Below are 15740 nucleotides of genomic sequence, written 5' to 3'. Positions count from 1 at the left end.
AATGCATAAATCTATTGTGGTATACTCACACAGCAGAGTATTATGTAGCAGTTTAAAAGAATGAATTATTGCTGGGTGTGGTGGTGCATGCCTGTAGTCCCAGCTACTCAGGAGACTGAGGTGGGAAGATCCCTTAGGACCAGGAGTATGAGGCCAGTCTGGGCAACATAGCAACCCTGTCTTTAAGTGAATGAATGAACTGTTGGTACACATGACATGAAGTAATTTCACAGACATAATAATGAGTTAAAGATAACAGATACAAATGATTACATATTGAATTACTTCATTTATATGAAGTTCAAGTACAGACAAATGAACTGTGATGACATAAGTCCATTTTTTAGGAAGGGGCATGAGAGGGATTTTTTAGATGCCAGATATAATGTACATTTTCATCAGAGTAGGGTTAACTGTGCGTATTCACAGACTTCATATGTGTGTTCCACCTCATTCCTTTTTTAAAAAGAACTAAAATGGTTGATTTATATATTCTCACATATATATATGGGTCTCGATACATACATATATATGCATATATGTATGCTTTATATTTTCTTACATATACATATATGGGTCTCAATACATACATATATATGCATATATATATATATATATATATATATATATATATGTATGTATGTATATGCTTTATTTTCCCATAAGTGTCTATGGCTTCATTTATTTCTATCCATTCCATGCTTTCCCTTAAATGAAGTCTTAGCAAGCTCCTAAGTCCCTTTTGTTTCTGTTGACACTGTTCAGATTAGCATTGTTCAGAATTTTAGCTCCAAATTATCTTAACCACCTATTTCTTTCCTAGAATTTCAAAAATTGAGTTGAGTCAGTGACCGAGCAAGAGCACCATCATCTTGGACAAACACCATCACTTTAAGTTCCAGCTCCCTTTCTAGCATCATGTATTTTAAGGTAATCACTTCTCTTCTAACTACAAGCAGCCAGAAAGAGCAGGCAGTAAAACACAGATAAGACAGCTTGGGCACAGAGGGAGGTGAGGGTAAAGTCTTTTGGGTAACTGCCAAACTTCACCCTCATACAATGGGCCCCAGTAAAACAGTGGGCCTTAATAAGCACATTCCTTTCCCTTCAGGTGCACTGAAATAGGGAAGCTAAAAGCAGACTCAGGGGATATGCCTGCAGCTGCGGAAAGATGAATGGGAACAGACACACAACTCTCCCTCCCAGATAAGCACCACAAAGAGATACAGAAACAGTCCAAGTGTCTGATAAACTCTCTACCCTGAATCCTTAAAAACTCTCTGACCTAACTCTGCCAGACACCCCTCTCAGGTTTGTTTTCTCTAAAATAAGCCCATCTTGACTGGCAAGCCATCCTTTGTGTTTGTTTCCTCTTTCTTTAATTCTTATAGTCAGGACCTAGATTAACCATGTTTTTCAACCTGGAAATAAAATCAATCTCTCTCTCTCTCTCTCTCTCTCTCTCTCTCTCTCTCTCTCTATCTGTGCGTGTGTGTGTGTGTGTGTTTTATTTATAAGGACACTGAAGTGTAGAGAGGTTAATGAACTAGCCCAGGGTCAGGACCATGAACTTTATTAATTTTTCAGGAATTCAACTATTACAGACAAATAGAAATTACCTTGTCTCAAACTCCTACTCCTCACTTCCCATTTTTGACAACAAGCGGTATTATTCTCCCTTTAACCCAGATGTAAAATCTATTTTATTCACAACAGATTTACTTTTAAGTATCTACTATGAAAGGAAAGGGGTATAGAGTTGAGAGGCTGTAGCCCCAATCCTCTACCCCAGTTGATTTTGACTCTTCTCATTCCAAAGTGGCCACTACCTTCCCTTTAGTTTCCCAAAATCAAACGTGTTAAGCATCAGATTGGACCACTACTTTAAGGTATTTGCTAAACCTGAAGCTGCCTTAGAATTTTTTTTTTTTTTTTTTTTTTTTTACTTACTGTCTGACTTTGCATGTGTTTGTCTAGAATTCAGCATCCTGTCTTTATGCCTGTCGCATTAAGCTATGAGTCCAGGAAGGTAAGAGCAGCAGCTGGCAAAGGTGCCCAAAACAAGTGTATTTTATTTTGGAAACATTCTTTGTGTCTAGCCTAAATCTATCCTGATGCAGTTTCAGACAACAGAACCCTTTGTCTTTGTCTACTCACAGGATAAATATGGTAGAAAAGGGGAATTCAAAGAAAGGAAATGGGGAAAATATGACACTTTGCAAAGGTGACATTTTAAAAATATGTACATTGCTGCAATCATTAACAGCACCCCGAGAAAAGATTCAGTGCTCAGAACAAATGATCCACCCTTTTAAAAAATTAAATGATGTAGCTTATAGCCTAGGAGGTATTTGCATGAAAAAGAGAAAGGCAGTTTTATCTTTGTGGATGGTGAAAGGATGATAACAGGATGATTTATTTTGAGTTTTTAAAGCCAGCCCCTGCCAATCTGCCTGGTAGAACCCCTGAAGCATTATTCAGTGCACACCACCATCAGGGCATTCACTTCTTCCCGTGACAACAGGTCCGCAGCTGTCTCTGCCTAGGGGCTGAAACCATCATTTTAGACTGCAAGACCATTAAAAGAGGGGGGAAGCTGAGTCCACTGAATCCTTTTCATAAAGCATCAGAGGAATGAGACCAACTTAGCCAAATCAGCACACCTTATAAAATTAGTCAAGGGAGACAACTGCATTGCTTCTAAAAAAAAAAAAATCAATTTAGCTCCTCATCACATCAATACCCCAAAATAATATCCAGATGAACTGAAGCTACAAATTGCAGACAACATTAAAAAACAAGAATTCTAGGATTAAATACTGTAAATTAAAAACAGGTGGATATTTCCACACACAAATGAAAAATTCTCTTTAGTACATACCATAATGAAAATGAAATGCCCAACATTGCACAAAGAAATATTATTTCTACAAATATGAGAAAGGCTTACTATTTTATACAATTAAAAATAAACACAAATGAACAAGAAAATCACTACAATCAATAGATAAATAGGTCAAATTATCTCAAAAGATGCCACGAAATTTTGAGTTGGAACCTGTTTTCTTTAACTTTAGAAGAGAATGTATCAAAAGAGAAAGCAGAAACCAAAAATTGTGTTGCTCATTGGTCAAAATCACAGACTACTCTCAAAGTCACCTTAATAGTTTAATCCCACCTACTTCTGAGTGGCTTTTGTCTTCTGGGAAAAATTCAATTTTTTTTTTTTTTTTGAGACAGGGTCTTGCTTGGTTGCCCAGGCTGGAGTGCAGTGGTATGATATCGGCTCACTGCAACCTCTCCCTCCAGGGTTGAAGCGATTATCATGCCTCAACCTCCCAAATAGCTGGGATTACAGGCACCCACCACCACCCTTGGCCAATTTTTGTATTTTTAGTAGAGACAAGGTTTTGTCATGTTGGCCAGGCTGGTCTCCAACTCCTGACTTCAAGTGATCCACCAGGCTCGGCCTTCCAAAGTGCTGGGATTGATGCAGGATTTTTTGCTCCTCTTCAGCTAAAATCTGAGTTCTCATCCCATGATCAGGAAAAATCAGGCATGCAGACACATTGAAAGGTGAGGAGGGTGGAATTCATTAAGCAAAAGGAAACCTCTCAACAAAAAGAGGGGTCCTGCATGCAGATTTTCCACCTTACAAATTGAATACCAGGGCACCACACAGAAGCTGAAGAGGCCAGGCTCCTCCCCAGTATAAGGCATGAATGTGGCTCCAACCCATTCTTCCAGTGCACAGGTGAGCCCTTAGTCTGAGCCACTCCACATCAATGTATTTCCCTTACTGTGCATCTGTTAAGGGGTGGAATTTTTCACTGTGGGCATGTTTAGGCAAGCCCCCTGTGCACAATGACCTAGGTGGCATTTGGCTGTCTCCTGCCTCTATTATTCCCCCTCTAAAGAAGCACGTTTAACTGCGGTTAGAATAAGGACAAAGATGATGACTGATCTTAACTGCTTCCTGCAGACGGGGAGTCGCTGTTTTGGGAAATGGGCAGTCAGATCTTCCTCAGAGGCCTATCTAAGGGTCCCTGGTAAAAGGGGGATCATCAATTGAGGCTCTGGTTGCATGACCGTTTGGAGTTTGATGGCCTCAAGGCAAGATGAGACAAACAGGTTTATTAGAAGACATGTATTAAAATGAAACAAAACGGGGGTTAAGGACAGCTCAAAAATCCCGAGGCTGCCAGTGTGCCCAGATAACTGGTGACTATAGTTATGCCTGCTAAGATTTGGGTGCATGGAGCTTGGCTTTGGTTAACTCCTTTGGTCTTATTTTCCCAACAAATAAACCTCTGGGTGATGGGCGCTCTATTTACTCTCATCACCTGGCAAGATTTGCAGGATAATTGCACAGAACTAGAATGCTGATCCAGATTTTTACATTACCTATCCCTTTTTACTTCTTCTGAGCTGCAGTCAGAGATTGCTGGTTGGTTCACAGGAATAAGCAGGGTTAGTCTAAAATGTAGGAAAAATAGCTTAAAAACAACTAATGTGTCTAGAATTTAATGACAATGTATAAGTTTTGACACATAATTTCTCTCCACTCCTCATTTTTGTTAAAAAAAAAACTATGATAGGACTGAGTTGTCTGCAAAATAAACATTAGTCTTATATTTGGCCTGATTATTTGCATAAAGTGCAGCAAGAATAATTATTTTTACATAGGCTTTTTGAATTGGCTTTGATGGAACTCTGTTCCATAAGGAATCTCAGATAGGACTTTTTAAAGCCAAGCCCAACCATGGGTTTGTATCCTCAAGTACCTGTAAGTTGGGTGAATTCCTCTCTTCTTGAGGTCCCAAGAATATGGGATTCCTGGGCCTGTTAGAAAGTGACATTATTTACTCACCACAGGTTACAAACCCTGTACAGGGACTGTGTAGAGAAGGTATGGGGCCAGTTTTCCCAAGGGGCTTTTATTGGCTCTGCAAGTCGAGCTTGACTTCTTAAAGATAAGCATACCCTTCTAGTCAAAGCCTTAGTAAAACAACCAGTTTCTCCAATTGCATCCTGTGGCAAAAGAAAATGGGTTCTTATATGGTTATTGCACTGATGCAAATAACCATATTGCCATAAGCTAAGAATATTCACAACTAGTTTTCAAATTCTGGAGAAACCAGGCAGAGAGAAACAAATATGCTCCAAACTTTTTTCACAGGATTATACCTTACTCAATTATTAAGGGTCATAAATAGCTCAAAATAAGTTTCCTTGACTCTGAAAAACAAAACAAGGATCAGCAATGTTTTAAACAAAAGTTTAAAAAGAATTACTTCATTTTCTATTAGTTGAGTCCATTCAGTTAGTTCTTGTTCTTCTTGATATTCATAAAAATTTCAGTTCTTCATGGTTCCTGTATGTTTTTTCTTTATTCTAATGTCACAATCTCCAATGTTATCAGAAACCTACATTTAAGAACAACTGTCAAAGTTCTATAGCTGATTATAAACCATCTTTTGAAGAAGATCAAAACAAGACAACAATTGTCTGTAAATAACAAAATGTCCAGGGTAGTTACAGTCAAAAACACGATTGACAACGAAATTTGGTTATCTCTGTAGTTTATAATAACTTAACAACCTTAATTGTGACTGATAGTGTATACTCAGACATTTGAATCTTTAGAGATCCCATATAGTTTTGGAGCATATATTAATATTATTCACTAAAATATAACCTGAAGAAGATTAAACATCATTTTGGCAATCCTATCTACCTAAACATATGAGGTAATCCTGTTTACCTCTCTTCTGGATACTCCAGGGGCCCCTCTGTAGCATCCAAAGGCTAGGGGTCAGGAAAGACAACCTTGAAGCTGAAATTTCATTTTGGAAAGCCTGTTAAATATGTTAGAGGATTAAAACACTTGATGTTATGAAATAGAATTCCACATTACCATAAGTTATTTATTTTGCCAAAATGATGACTCAAACATTTTAAGACAAGGCAAACACCTTTACTCATTAAGAGGGAAGACTTAGCTTTCCAAACAATTTGTCTCCTGTTTTCTTTTTCTTTTTCTTTTTCTTGGCAGCCTATAGGCAAGGCAAATGGAAATCTTTCATTATCCTTTACTATTACATGAAAATCTTGTATGAGGGAGAGAAAGCCAAATTTTATGCTTACATTAGTTTACTATGAATGTCAACCCAATTTTTAAAATGAAACCTTATAGACCATTGCATCCAATCTTGACGAGTTTGACCATAAGGTAAGATTCTTATAAACCTTTTATAACCCTTTACAAATTTTGCTAAAGAGTAGATTAGTGCCTTAAGAAAAAAAAACCTTATTGTGCTTTTATTTCAATGCTCAATTTACAGAAAAGCCATAATACCATTTTGAATTTAGTATGTTCACCACAGAATTTCTTTTGCAAGATTAATTTTTACAATCCTTCCATAACTTGTTTAAAGTTTTAGCTTTATCTTGTCTAATTCAAAACAATCCTTTAGCCCTAGCCAAAAATTTACTTTTCCATGCCTTCTTATAATCTTGTACTACAAACACATTTTACTATTCTTACACACCTTGCATGTAAATCCATTTTCAGTGGTCTCAATTACATGTTATAATGGTAACTCTTAGCAATTTTTAACTTTAATGTAAAATCTGGTAAATTATTTTAATTATGTACTAGGCAATGGTAAAGTGTGACTCCTTCCAGCGTAGTTAAGGGTTTGGTTAATTCCACATATGCCCAGGCCTAACCAATTGTGAAGCAGGCAAATTGAACCGTTCTCAAAAGCCAGAGAAGCAGTTTATAACCTTAAAATATTTAGCAAACCTAGTATCTGGCCTGCATAATTTAGACCACCTATTTATATTTTAATGACATTTGCATTTTACCAATAATCTTCAAGACTTTTTATTTCTCAAAGATTAAAATCATGTGAACTAAAAGGCATTACAAGTTTTATCTTTCCTGCAAAATATATTTGATCCAAGTGCTTATCCTTCTTTAAGCCAATTAATTAGAGCTTTTTTAATAGACGTCACACACAACACATATATAACTACACAGACAGACAGAAGAAGGTCCAGTAGCTATAAGAGTTTTCAGTTGCCAATCTCATAATTGGATTATTGGCCTCTGGGTGGAGCCCTTTGAGAGTAAGGCGAGGAAAGCCTGCAACTTCCAGGGCCCAATAAACAGGTGTGGCTGAAAGACAGAAACAGATTTTGAGAGAGATCTATCCACCTTTAATTCCTGGGTTTCCATGAGAAAAACAGAGGTTTCTCCCCCAAACAGGGTCAGTGGCACTGTCTCTGTTTTTCTAAGAAGTCCCATGCTCTTAGAAGTTATCTTAGGGCCTCACATGCATGCACCAAGAGTGGCAAGACAAAATGGAGAAAAATAATTCAGTCAACTGAGAAAAAAAACTTTTTCAGGAAAACAAGATCCATGAAGAGAAAAACATACAGGCCTTTTAAATATACTTATAGCTTGGATATCCACTTCTAATTAAGCTGAGCACTCTTTAAGAAAGTCCTTTTAAATCTTGTATTACCTGACTTTAGCCATGCCAAGTGGCCAATATTTCTGGCTTTTGAATTTTAGCACAAGTAACCTCACAAGTGAAACCAACAAGTCTCAATTAAGACAGGCAAAGCACACCAGATTTGTCACAGCTTAAGACCAACCTAATAAATACTTTTTCATTGAACAAAAGTTTACAGAGAATATAAACACTGATCCTTCTCATTTCTTTTACTGATTGGCACAGGGAGAGGGAAGCCAAAATTCTGACTGGCAAAAAAACTTTTACCTTTTTGCCAGCATGTCAGACTTATGGGTTCCCTTTCTCCGAGCTCAGTTCTAAGACAACCAGTTTAAAGTTTGGGAAATTAACTTTTCTCAGTTTGGAGGATGTATCCGAGTGGAGTGTTCTGTAGTATGGGGATACAATTACCCCTCTGTGAAGAGAGAACAGAGGAAGAAAAAGGAAAAAAGAAGGCATTCTGGTTTTTTTTTTAAGGAGCCCCAGGGGTTCATGAGTCATCGAAAGGGGTACAGACTGAAAATGAATTGGTTACTCATCCAGAAAGAGGGGAGCAAAGAGTCCCAAGTTCCTGTCTCTTCCCAGAAAATACCTGGGGTATGTGAGGGAGAGGTAGAAAAGGCATCCCTCTTTCTTTCTTCTGTGCTTATATCCTGATAGAGGCAGGATATAACCTTATGTGCTTATATCCCCGAGTCCCAGTGACCTTGACAGGGTGCCACCCCGTGGATGCCAATGCGACTTTCATTCATGTTAACAAGGGAGGCTAGGGAGTTGGATTATTTGCTGTTACCCACATATGCCCTGTCCCCACTGCTGTCAGGAGCCTTTGAGTTCTGAAGCTTGGAATTGAGTTTGGGACAAAAATGTGTCTCGGGGGTTGCACAGACTCCTTATCATAAGCCAAATGCTAAGATGAAGCTGTGGAATTGAGTCCTCCTCCAACAAGGGAGAGATAAAGGGTTTCCTGTGAACTGGGGTCCTGGTCTAATAAGATGCCTTCCAAAAGGAAAAAAAAAAACAAAAAAACCTCTGGCATAGAGAAGCCCCCTCTCCTTGCAGGGCTGTGTGATGAGGTTGTTGCAAATGCAATCATGGTCCCAGCTATTCTAAGTAATGGCAAAAACCGCAACTACTTTCACACCAACCCACTAACTCCTGATCTGGTGGAGAAAACAACAACAACAACAGCTTAAGTACAGAGCTGTGTTAACTGCTGACAGGGTAGAGACAAGAAAAGAAAAAACAGCTTAAGTGCAGCGCTGTGTTAACTGCTGACGGGGTGGATAAAAGAAAAAGATGCCTGGGGAAGAAACATCTTATTCTTATGCAAATGAGTTTCTCCAACAGGGAGAGAAACTTTTAATTGCTGTTGAACCAAGCTGGACCCCTCAGCCAGGGAAGGTGAAGACTCTGTGGATGTGTGGCAGGGGACACTGGCCAGCCGGCCACATGGGCCCAGGCCCCTGAGGCCACCTTGGGGCCTGGGCAGTGGCTGAGGCTCATTCCTGCCCTGCATGGCCATTGGACACAGCACACACATGCAGTAGACATGGCCATGTGCCCCAGCTGGGAGGAAAGGGGGGCAGCCGTGGGAGTGGGGGACCCATAATTTGTAAAAGAAAAAATAGGTGCTATTACCATCCTGAAAAAGAAGGAAAATGCCACATAAAAGACTGGGTTGGACCAAGGCTAACATTCCTGACCCCTGAGAGCAACGTGAGGTGGGGGTGGGGGGCAGATTCCCCTCTCCTCAGAAAAAAATCTGAGGATGTCCACATTTTACTCACCCTTCCTCATGTCCTTGTACGGGCTGCCAAAATGAATCAGGATTTTTTGCTCCTTAGTTCAGCTAAAATCCAGTTTCTTGTCCCATGACCAGGAAAAATTAGGCACACAGACACATTGAAAGGTCAGGAGGGCAGAATTTATTAAGCAAAAGGAAAGCTCTCAACAAAAAGAGGGGTCCTGCACACAGCTTTTCCACCTCAGAAATGGAATACCAGACCATCACACACCATCTGAAGAGGCCAGGCTCCTCCCTAGTATAAGGTGTGAATTCCTGGTGGCTCCAACCCATTCTTTCAGTGCACAGGTGGTCCCTTAGTCTGAGCCACTCCACATCGATTTATTTCTCTTACTTGTGCATGTGTTAAGGGATGGAATTTTTTACCATGGGCATGTTTAGGCAAACCCCCTGTGCACAATGACCTGGCCGGCATTTGGCTGCTCCTGCCTCTTTCAGGATTAGAGGTGTGAGCTACCCACGTCTGGCCACAAAATTCAACTTTTACATAGCATCTAAGGCATTATTTCAAAATGTTTAGTCTTCTTTCCTTTTTTGATTTTAAAACTTTTGATCAATATGTACTACGTACAGATTCTGTTACCGAACTGAACTTGGGTCCACTTGCTTGGTGCAGCAAAGTCAAACACTGACATCAGGATTTACAGCAAGAGAAAGTGAGACATTTATTAAAGTGCACCACATGAGGAGAATCAGGCAGCAAATGCTTAAGCTTCAAACTCCCAGATGGCCTACACATAAGAGGCTTTTTTTTTTTCTTTTGAGACAGTGCCTAGGCTGGAGTGCAGTGGTACCATTTTGGCTCACTGCAAACTCCACCTCCTGGGTTCAAGCAATTCTCGTGTCTCAGCCACTCGAGTAGCTGGGATTATGGTGTGTGCCACCACGCCTGGCTAATTTTTGTATTTTTAGTAGAGATGATGTTTCTGCATGTTGGCCAGGCTGGTCTTGAACTCCTGGCTTCAAGTGATCTACTTGCCTCGGCCTCCCAAAATGCTAGGATTACAGGCATGAGCCACTGTGCCTGGGCACATGTAAGAGTTTTCGAAGTAGGAGGCAGATGTTACAGGCTGTCATAAATCAATACATGGAGGCTATATATTCTTTTGGTGTAAAAAGGTGGGACATCTTAAGGAGAGGGCCCACAAGTCATAGGTGGATTCAAATATTTTCCAATTTGAAGTTTGTCAAGCTTTGTCTAAAATCCTGGGGTCAGTAGAAAGGAATGTTGAGCTCCGGCCTGTGGGCATGACTTCGTCTAGGTCCCTCACAAAGAAATTTAGAACGAAGAACAGTGGTCAGAATTCAGTCCTCAATTTCCCTGCATCTGAGGTCTACCTGCCAGCAGACAGGATTTTCCATTTGATTTCTGAAAAACAACTCAGGGACATATGTTAAGATGTTATCTTTAGTTTCCATAGGGAACCAAACAGCTCGTGACTCTAACCTTCCTGGCTGTTGTTTTAAGCTACTGTTACCTTCTTGCTTATCAGGCTGCTCGTTTTCTTCTCAAGGCCAACTAGGTGCCTGGAACTTTCCTTGAAAGAAACTCGGGATTTTCTTTTATTTTCATGCTTAGAGGGCCTGCTAGGCCACTAAGAGGGGTCTCTGCTCCATCTCAATTTAAGCTTGCCTTTCATCAACCATTTATTTCATTTTATTTATTTATTTATTTATTTATTTATTTATTTATTTATTTGTTTATTTTTTGAGATGGAGTTTAGCTCTTGTTGCCCAGGCTGGAGTGCAATGGCACAATCCCAACTCACTGCAACCTCCGCCTCCCCGCTTCAAGCTATTCTCCTGCCTCAGCATCCTGAGTAGCTGAGATTACGTGTGCGCCACCATGCCCGGATGATTTTTGTAGTTTTAGTAGAGACAGGGTTTCACCATGTTGGTCAGGCTGGTCTCAAACTCCTGACCTCATGTGATCCACCCACCTCGGCCTCCCAAAATGCTGGAATTACAGGCGTGAGCCACCGTGCCTGGACAACCATTTTTTTTTTGTGCCCCCTAATGTGTGCATCTCAGCTCTGTACTTAACGGTGTTTTTGAGCTACCTGAGAGACAAACACTACAGTTACGTCATACGCTACTGCTGGCGGGAAATCTCAGAGCACTGGACCTTAATTTGGACAGAAAAAATATAATCAGCTATCATAGTAAATTCAATAATATTTGACAATCTCATCAAACTTGGACTAATCTGTGCTGTATACATTGTTAGATCATAGGTATCAAAGAGTTTTTGGGAACTGCTTTTTAGTGAGCACCAAGTTCATCAAAACTTAAAGTACCCATGCTTTCAGGCCTTTCTACCTGACTTAAGTGGTTTATGCTCTTCTCAGCCAGATATTGAGCAGCATCTCTGGTGAGACTGTCCCTGGCTGCCTCATTTGCTCTCTATCTTTAGAAATTCCATCTTAGGGCCTCCTCTCAGGCTCAGCTTTCTCATAGATTTTACCTTCTAAACTCACTGCCACCTCCCAAAAGAGGTCTGGAAAACAAAGGTGGTCTATTGTCCATTACTACTGATTCCAGCTTGCAATGGCCATTGGTAGCAACCCAGAAAAGTGTCCTAGAAAGTTCAAGTTAGTCCTCATATCAGATGACAGCGAAGCTGGGGCATGCTCCTTCTGCATTGCTGAAGAGGGCTGCATGTGGAAATACTAATGTTGAAAACAGTGAAGGAATGTTTGTTTTATGTATGTCCTACATTGCATATGAACCATGATAAAATTAACATACACTTAAGACAAAAATGTTTAAGTTGCCTTAAATTAATAAATTATTCCATAAATAAATGTGACCTTATAAACATCTCATGGTGGGACTAAATCTGAGGAAAGCTACTCACTAAACACTGTATTGTCCAATGTGACTGGATTGCCCACAGCCTGGAGAGCATGATGACTTAGAGTAGAAGGGGCTTGAGTGTCCCCTGATGACACAGAGGACTAGTCAGAATGACCACTGAGAACGTGCATGTGGAATCGTGCTATTGCAGGGGAGTATGGCTTCTTAGATTATCACTGTTCATTTGAAATTCTGGCCCTTTTGTGGCTATTGCATTCTAACAGATAACTCTGCTGTTGAAAAGTAGGAGTTGTTTATTATCTTAGCAGTTATGTGAAAATGCTTGCAGCCAAGCCAAGGAACTAATTGCAAATTTTGCAGAGATGCAAATGTTCTTTCTGTAGACAAGGAAAGCCAAATTAATAAAAATATCTCAAGTACCATCCTAAAACAGGTCAGAAAAAAAAAAAAAAACATCCGATGTGCAAAACTGGTGAAATTTGATTTGGTTTTGATGACTATGTTCAGTGAATAAATGAATGTAGAGTGAGGAAACTAACAAGTTACTAGGTGAGAGTTAAGAACACGATATCTAGAGCAGACTATCCAGTTCAAATTCCAACTCTGCCACTTAATCAGCTCTGACCTTGGACCAGTGGCCTGCTGCATGATTCATTTCTTCATCTATACAATGAAAATGGTGATAGTGTTAGTATTAACAACTTGAAGGACAGCTGGGAGGATTAAAGTTGTTAGCATATGTAAAGTGCTTAGAATGGTGTTGGCAAAGATGGTGAGTTATTGCCACGGCATAGCCCTGCATATTTCTCTGTTATGTAAGCACAGGCCACACATTTAGTGTGTCTTTATCTTTTTTTATAATTAGCACATTGCCTCCAAAGTCATTTAACAATGCTAACAATAGAAGTGTTCCATTACTAATTATTTCAGTAAAATTACTCTGCATTCATATATCATGCCAGTGACAATCCTCAGAGTCATTTATTAATACTTTTTTTCCTGGTGAGTATTGATTGTTTTAAGGGGATGATCTATTAGAAATTGTAACTCAGAGCCGGGCACTGTGGCTCATTCCTGTAATCCCAGCACTTTGGGAGGCCAAGGCAGGCACATCACTTGAGGTCAGGAGTTCAAGACCAGCCTGGCCAACACGGAGAAACCCCGTCTCTACTAAAAATACAAAAATTAGCTGGGCATGGTGGTGGGCACCTGTAATCCCAGCTACTTGGGAGGCTGAGGCAGGAGAATCGCTTGAACCTGGGAGGTGTAGGTTGCAGTGAGCCAAGATCGCGCCACTCCAGCCTGAGTGACAGAAAGAGATTCTATCTCAAAAAAAAAAAAAAAAAAGGAAAGAAATTGTGACTCTGAACCAGTAGAAAATAGCCTTAGATACTCCTGTTTTTGTACATCAAACTTAATATTGACAATGGTTTGTGCTAAAAATGATCTGTATAATAAATACTTATTAAATTTATCCACTTTATTTATTAAAATTAAGTAATTTATGATACTAAAGACATTCTAAAACATAAGCCATACATTGATGATTCTCAAGAAAATGTTCATGGACATATTCTAATTGGTTCTATTATGATTTTCTTTAATTTAGAGATGATATTTAAAATTATTTTACCAGGAATAAAAACAACACATCTTGTTTACAGGAATAAGTCACAATTCAAAGATATTTTCATGTAATAAGACAACATTTATTCCTACTCACACATTTTTATTTTCATTCTAATTTCTTATCAAAGTCTGGAGGAGCAATTTACAACAAGGTCTTAACTACACATCCCAAAGTATGTTAGCAGAAAAGTATAACAAAGGCCTTAATGCCAATTCTTGACTGTCAGAAAAAATAGTTGAGATTTTTAGCATCTGAAACAATATTCTGTGAATGAGAGATGCTTCAATGAAGGAAATCTCTATAGATATCAATATCTAAGTCATCTGAACTCCTCTAATAGCACAATAAGAAAATAAATAAGGGAAAGGACATTTAGATTTCGAGTAGCACACTTAGGAAACATGTATTATTACTGCCCATCTGCTCCTCTCAAATATGCCTGGATATGTTTCCTAGTGGCAGAAGGTGAGACTAGGCAAAATCTCACAATTGTCAGAGTATGGTCCCACTGAAAACAACAATAATTATCTTCCTAAAGTAAGTGTGGTGTTTCAATTATTGGTAATCAAGTTTATGATACTCTATTTTCTGTCTTCAATTTGACATCTAGGAATGCTGGTTATAAAAGTGACAATTGCTTTAATAATTAGGGCACCAAAGAGCATATGAAATTAACCTTGTCTTCTTGAAATTAGCTGATATTCACATGTGAAGTACAGCAAGCCTCTTTATCTTACATCTACTCAAATCTCTCTTTGAACTGAGGAATAGTGGATGAAAAATCTAATATGATCATGTAATTTTTTCAATTATTCAGATTTTATACATACAATAAATATTTGATGGATTCTTTTGGCAGTTGATGAGTTAAAATCTATTCTCTTAATTAAAAGACAACTTTCAAAGTGTTTTAATTTTTTTAGAGAGTGAGTAGACAACTTACCAGGGGAATCAAAATTTAATAGATGATTTATTTGAGTGGCATGTGATCTTTTTAGTTGTGGTTTAGATACAAAGCATGAATTCAAACATTCACCTTAACCCCTGTATTCTAAAATTCAAACCTAGTATAAATCATCAATAGAGTTGTATAAAATCTAACTGATGTCTGAATTTCTCCAGAGATAGAAAAAGTTACAACCAACAGGGGCAATTCATTTCATCTTTGCATAATCTCTGATTCTTGAAATGTTCTCCCTTTAACTCCAACTCATTAGCTTTCTTGAAGGCACACAGAAAAATTCTGATTCATAGAGAAAACCTTCAAATATGGTCAATAACTATCCTAAGCTTCATGGTTCCACCATTAATTTGGATAAATAAATTAAGTTCTGTGAGATTTAATTCCTAGATTGAAGAAAATTGAGAAAATACATATTACGTATTCTGAAAAACCTTAAAGTACAACTCAGAAATTAGTTACGTGAGTGTTTTGGAAGCAGGTAATTTAAAAACTAATTATTTGAGCACTCTTTATTAGATGTAAGAAAACCCTGGATAAATATGAGGTCATAGGACAGCTGGGTTCTGAATGAGCCCTAGAAATTACATCAGAAGATGATGAAACAATCTTTGCACAGTTGGTGATAGGTAGAATCAAATTTGGAGAGACTTTCAGAAACTTGAAGCAAAAGAGTTTTGTCTTATTTTGCCTTGTTTGCTAATGAATTATAAAATCTTTAATCCAAAAGAGGGACTTATGGTGACACCATTGTAAGTCCTCTTGATGAGTGACCCTATTAAAAAATAATTGAGACAGGATGATTAAACTTGCATCACACAGACTTCTGGGTTGGAACAAGATGCAGTAGACACACTTCTTTTCTACCATAAAGTACAGCTAAAATCCCTGAATGTTATATATACGACAAACATAAGAAGTCTCTGAAAGACTGGGAGAAGGCAGACCCAGCTAGGAGCTCCAGGACACAGGGTGAGTTTCCTGAGTTTTCTTTTTGCTGCA

At 38.7% G+C, this 15740-nt stretch overlaps 2 annotated features.

Moving 5' to 3' along the window:
• Nucleotides 8503-9003: an enhancer, noted in NCBI's record as "NANOG-H3K4me1 hESC enhancer chr8:53512288-53512788 (GRCh37/hg19 assembly coordinates)". NCBI's record gives its function as "activates a minimal SCP1, AML or CMV promoter by ChIP-STARR-seq in naive H9 embryonic stem cells {active_cell/tissue: H9 hESC(naive)}" and the evidence as "EXISTENCE:reporter gene assay evidence [ECO:0000049][PMID:30033119]".
• Nucleotides 12376-12576: a silencer, noted in NCBI's record as "peak7018 fragment used in MPRA reporter construct". NCBI's record gives its function as "represses an SCP1 promoter by STARR-seq MPRAs in K562 erythroleukemia cells {active_cell/tissue: K562}" and the evidence as "EXISTENCE:reporter gene assay evidence [ECO:0000049][PMID:32103011]".

This window comes from Homo sapiens, chromosome 8 (assembly GCF_000001405.40).
Source record: "Homo sapiens chromosome 8, GRCh38.p14 Primary Assembly".
Classification (NCBI taxonomy): Eukaryota; Metazoa; Chordata; class Mammalia; order Primates; family Hominidae; genus Homo; species Homo sapiens.
The sequence above is the reverse complement of the archived record's forward strand: the minus strand, read 5'-3'. Positions and strand labels throughout refer to the sequence as shown.